General features: G+C 44.5%; 1 protein-coding gene across 1 annotated transcript in view; it reads right to left on the bottom strand.

The window, feature by feature from the left end:
- Positions 1 to 1,414: 1,414 nt before the first annotated feature.
- Positions 1,415 to 6,000, bottom strand: part of GALNT8 (polypeptide N-acetylgalactosaminyltransferase 8) — a 52,327-nt gene continuing 47,741 nt past the window's right edge. Inside the window, exon 11 of the mRNA NM_017417.2 lies at positions 1,415 to 1,696. Coding sequence (NP_059113.1) covers positions 1,544 to 1,696 — 153 coding nt within the window. The 3' untranslated portion in view covers positions 1,415 to 1,543. The remainder of the gene's footprint in view (positions 1,697 to 6,000) is intronic.

The raw sequence follows: 6,000 nt of genomic DNA, 5'->3' as shown, positions 1-6,000 counted from the left end.
TTTAATTTTTACCAATTTAAGTGAAAAGTATCTCAATACAGTTTTAATTTGCATTTCTCTAACTACGAATGAGGTTAAACATCTTTTCATATGTTTAAGTATTGTGTCTTTTATCCAACTTTCTATTGGGTACATGCTTTTTCGAAACTTTGCTGTGAACTGCATTTTCCCTTCAATTTGCCAGGCAGAAGCTAGAAGTTATACATTTGCTTAACATTCATCTTGTCCCTTGATTTTTTCATAATAAAATCGTATCTGCAGTAGTTTTAGTTCTTGATATGGCAGTGTTCATAGTGAAATTTTAATCAAGCTATCTATAACCTGTACACTTTTAAAAGTTCATTTTTATAAGTTTTAATTGATTAAATTCTGTACCAAATTATCACTGTCCTGCTTGCCTAAGGCCTGAAGAAAACCTAATGATTCCCCAAATCATTTCCAGGCAGCCCTGACACGGGACTAAGAGAGAAAAGTGGCCCTCTGAAGAAGGGGTTCTGGGAGCACATGCTTGAAGGGTAATCCCACAACACACCACACGCACAGGACCATCCTACCTCCTCTCCCACCATGGTGCCTGGTCCCACCAGCCTCCAAGACCTTGCCAAAAATTGGCAGGCTGAGCTATATCTTCCCAACTCACCAACTAGCAGAAAATATTTATCCAGTGGGCAGCCGTAGAATCCCTGGTTTTAAGATTTTGCCTGCAATCTCTTCTTTGCCCACAACAAGCGATGCCCCTCTGATTCAAGCCTCATCTTCTCCATAATTTGCAAGAGTAGGAGGAGGGAATAGGTAATTAAGTCATTAAATGTTATGACCTACTAAGAGAAAGGCTTTGATGGCCCTGGATTTTCTTACCCTTCTCAACACACTGTCCCCTGGACAGCTGTGATGAGTCGAGGTGCCTTCTCTCCTCCCCTCAGCCTCCAGAATCTCTTTGGTGTGGGAGAGACTGATCATCCAAATAAAACTGCCATGGAAGGATGAATGGAGGAATGTTTAAAAGTCACTTATCTATTTTCTGCATCTCTCAGGACAGTCCAGGCAGGAGGGAGAATTAGTGCTACCTGAAGAGGTGTCATGCTGCCGGCCTGAGGAGGGCCCAGCCTCTCACGTGGAATGGCCCCCGGCAGCCTGGGGAGTCCCCAAGCAGATGAGCTGGGGAGGAGGTGTGGGGCAGATGGCGACAGTAGCTGTCGGGAAGGAAGGCTAAACATCGTGGGCAGAAGTCAAAGATAAACTTCCAACCTCCTCCTTCTCTCCCCACGTAACAGCCAAAAGATGCTGGTTATTTCAAGGAGTTTCCAAGAATGGCATTTGATATATATCACGACCTTCCCAGGGAAGCTGGGGACGAGGCATCAGAGCTTCCTCTCCTCTCTCCAACAGAGACACCCCGGCACACGCACAGGCCCCACCTGAAGTCGCCATAAACAGACATACACATGCTTTCTTTCTCATTGAGAAAGAAGCTGGGAGTGTTAGGAGTAGAAGCCATTCCACTTGCAAGAATTGATGACCCAGATCCAGCACCATCTGAGGATCACTGGCTGTTGGTCTGACCCCAGTCTCTGACAGTGTGCTGGATTTCCCACACTTGCGTGCTACAGGTCTGGAGCACAAGCACGTGGCTACCCAAAAGATCCTTCTTCATCTCCAGACACCGCTTGGTATCTCTGTTTATGACAGCTCCTCCCTGGAGGGGAAGAGAGACAGAGCCAAGGTGCTGAAATGCCTCAGTAATTCATCATCTCTTCTAGCCCTGCTCTCCCTGCTGTGCTCAGCCACATTCTTGAGGGACCCCTCAGTGCTCCACAAGTCATCCAGGGAAGAAAGGGAAGCAGAATGTAGGATGAGATCACCCCGTGCTTCCTCTACCAGCCCCATGGCAAACTGACTAACCAGGCGATGTTGCGCTGGCTTCGTGTGATGCCCTCAGCCTCTCCTGAGATGGAAGCATTGGGTCAGTACTGACTACCATGGAACGAAGGCATCTGTGAGAACCGTGGGCCTTCTCAACTTGGCCCTCCTCTCCACGTCCTCACCCCTGACCCCATGAGACCCATCAGGGTCACCTTCACCTTGTGCTTCTCTCCCTCTTCAGGGAAACTGTGTTGTGGGCCTGGAGCAGGAGCTACAGTCAGGAATCTCAGCCTCTGAGGCAGCTTCCCGCCTCTCCTATTGAGGGGACTTCGCTAAGGTTTATAACTGGGAACATGATAGGCTTTAGTGCTACAAAGTCAGGGCTGAATCCTTGCTCTTCCACATACGAACCGTGTGGGCTTGGGCAAATTACCTAATCTCTCCAAGTCTTCCCCCTTATCTTCATATCTCAGCAACTGACACTCCTGCCATCTGTCCAAACTACCGTCTCTCCTGGTCCTGCCCTCTGCTCCCGGCCCTCTCTCTCCCACGTTCCCTCTCCACCCTTTGCAGGACTCACATGATCTACATTACTGCCTGGGTCAGGCTCTTTCCTTTTTATGCCCTGCACTCTGCTATCATCCTCAGGGTGCATAACATTCATTCTGATGGCTAGTGAAAAACCCTGACCTCACTGTTCCCCTTCAGACAAACTGCCACCAAGTTCTTGAGCACCAAGTGGGACTGACTGCAGCTGTAACATCTCCAAATTTCTGCTTCCTCTCTCACCATCACCTCCCTGCCTCTCATCTCTTCCAATCACAAACTGCCTCTAACAGCCCTTGCTCCCCCCAAAATTTGCCTGTCCCTGGACTCCCCCCAGCCCCAACCACCCTTTCCTCCTCTGGGCACCCATCCAGCATTGGCCATTCAGGGCAACGCTTCAGATTCTGGAACTTCTCCTCCACCACTGCCACCACTCCTCTCTCTTTGCTTCCAGACCACAGAGTGCTTGTGGACAGGGTCTGCCAACTGAGCAGGCCTGGCTCATAAACCTGCCCACAGCAGCCTGGCCCCAGGGCTCAGCTTACTCCTCAGGGTTCCTCTTCCAGGCCTCCTCAGCATGCTTCGTCTGTCAGCCCCCACCTGGCACTCACTTTAACTAAATGTCAAGAACACCACACTCCTATTCAATCTTCCCGTCCCCTGCAAGCCATCAGCGATCCTGAGGACACAGCCTCACAGATGATCTCAAAAGAGCGGCCCCATGCCCGCCTCACCCGCCAGCAGCCCCCCTCTGTTCCCTGAGCCCCAGCCATCCTCGATGCTAGAGAAACACTATTCCTAACATCCATCTTTTATTTCTCCCTCTTTGCAGATTCCTTTTCTACTGCCTTTAAACATGTCCAAATGTCACGATATTAGAAGGACAAAATAAACCCAGACCTTAACTCTACTATCCCTTTCAACAAACATTCAGTTTCTCTCCCTTTCAGAATCAAATTCCCAAGCAACGAGGCAATAGCACACAGTGGTTAAGATTCCGTGTTTGAGTGCTGGGCATTTACTACACTGTGTAGCCCTCAGCAAATAATTGGACTCCTCAGTGCCCCAGTTACTTCATGGGTGAGATGGAGCTAGTGATCACACTTCTCATATAAGACTATGTTTTATAAGAACTAAATGAGAAAATGTTTAACCCAATGCATGGTGCAAATATGTATTCAATAACTCTTGGTCACAATAATTTATTATTGGTCACAATAAATTATTGTGACCAATAATTTATTGTGACCTTTTAGACAAAGTCAGTGGTCTGTTTTCTATTTCCACTCAACTTCCACATGACATGAGCTTTGACAGTGTTCCACACATCCTCTAGTTTCTTTCAAATTGTGTTCATCTGTATCTTACACATTTTTGTTTTGGGTTTGATTTTTTTTGTTGTTTGTTTTTTGTTTTTTTTTTTTTCTTTTGAGACACAGTCTCGCTCTGTTGTCCAGGATAGAGTGCAGTGGCATGATCTTGGCTCCTTGCAACCTCCGCCTCCCGGGTTCAGGTAATTCTCCTGCCTCAGCCTCCCAGGTGGTTGGGATTACAGGCGCCCACCACCACAACCAGCTAATTTTTGTATTTTTAGTAGAGACAGGATTTCACCATGTTGGCCAGGCTGGTCTCAAACTCCTGACCTCAGTTCATGGTCTGCCCGCCTCGGCCTCCCAAAGTGCTGGGGTTATAGGCGTGAGCCACCGTGCCCGGCCATTTTGGTTTTTATTTTGGGGTGCTGCGTGTCAGAGTTTTTAAAAGGATTTCTCTTTTTGTTTCTTTTTCACTTTTACAAAAGTAATAGATGCTTCTTTTTTAACTTGGAAAACATTTTTAAAGTATATAAAATACTTTAAAATAAATGGTCAGGGCTCAGGGCACATGGGCTGCTGGCAGGTGAGGCGGGCATGGAGCAGCTCCTCTGAGATCATCCATGAGGTCATGTCCTCAGGATCGCTGATGGCTTTCAGGGGAGGGGATGATTGACTAGAAGTGTATTTATAGAAAATATATTTTAAAATATTTTATATATAAAGTATATAAAAGCACTCATAACAAGATAATATTGTATATGTGGTCTTTACATCTTGCTTCTTTATATAAATTTAACATTCTATATACATCTTTTCCAATTTTATTAATTTTTTGAAATAGATTTCTTGAGAACATCATTTGAATGGCTATATAATATTCAGTTCAAGAGATGAGCAAAACCTCCCCTGCTGTTGGACATTTAATTTTTCCTTGTGTTTCACTGTGATAAGTATTAAGATATTTTCTACATTAATCCTGGCCTATGTTCTGTACTATTCTTTAAGTAAAGATATTGTCCTAAAAAAGAATCAGTGCCTTAAAAAGGGTTGTAGTTAGTTTGGGTTCTGAGGAGTGTCTGGTTTTCCTACACGTGGGCAAGTTGCTTCTGGAGCCGTGCCAGTCTCCATGCTCACCAGTGGTGTGTGGGAGCACTCCCTCCCCACTTCCTCTTTCCCCAAACTTCCAACCCCTCACCACGAGTGCTCTCCTCCTCCTCACTATTCCTCACTACTCCTCACAGAGACCCTCTTTGTATTGTGAGCTGTTGCTTCACCCCGAAGATGGATGACCTTCTCCAAATGCCCCCTTATTTCAGTGGCACACTATCTTAACGCTGTGCTCCTCAACTTAAAGTCCATGTGTCTGACTAGCCCTTCTCTTCTTGAACTGGGTCCCCACCCCATCACTGGCTCTCTTGTGAGTCACAAGGGTCATAGCCTCCTCTGGTACACCCAAAACACAGAATCATGAAATCAAAGAAAACGAAGGGATGATCTAGTCTCATCTCCCTCTCAATTTTGGAAAATTTCTTTGGTAACTTTTTAGTAAATTAATTTGTAAGTTGTGTCTACAAAGTAAAGTGAGAACCAGAAGAGCCCAACATTCAATCAAGTATCATTTTTCATATCTGAAAGAATTATAGACCTAAGAGGTAAGATGGATGGAAAAGGATTAGATGGAGTGAACCCACTCAACACTAACTTAATATTAGGTAACACACCAGAAATTACACGATCACCTCCCTTTTCAATTTTTGTGGTTCTTGACATAGTGGCCATAGAAATGGACCCAGCCTGTATGTTAGAATGGTTGGCAGAATTTCCCTGGATGTTCTGCCTTCCAGATCTCACAGCCAACCCAAATCTCTTTTCTGTCAGTAGCCTCAGTCAGCTGAGAAGGCGATCATCCAAAATTTTCTTGGCAAGGCAACCTTCAAAATGTTTGGAATGCATAATTATTTATTTAGTAATGGTAGGCTGTTATCATGAAAAGAAAAAACACAAAAAAAAGATATGAAAAAATGAGAATAAAATTTTATCTAAAAATATTATTTCTTTAGAATACATTGTATCTTTAATTCTTACGAGGTTTAGGATAAAGTATAGCTATTAAGGGAATCAAATACATAGTACTTGCCAAAGATTCTGTGTATATTTACTATTTTTAAGTACTTGTATCTAAGAAAATTGGCATCTTACAGATTAATCTTGTGATAGCAATTTTAAAATGTGTATTTGAGTAATTAAATTGGTGACTCGATGGTGAAATTTTACTGAC

This window comes from Homo sapiens, chromosome 12, assembly GCF_000001405.40.
Source record: "Homo sapiens chromosome 12, GRCh38.p14 Primary Assembly".
NCBI classification, from domain to species: domain Eukaryota; kingdom Metazoa; phylum Chordata; class Mammalia; order Primates; family Hominidae; genus Homo; species Homo sapiens.
The sequence above is the reverse complement of the archived record's forward strand: the minus strand, read 5'-3'. Positions and strand labels throughout refer to the sequence as shown.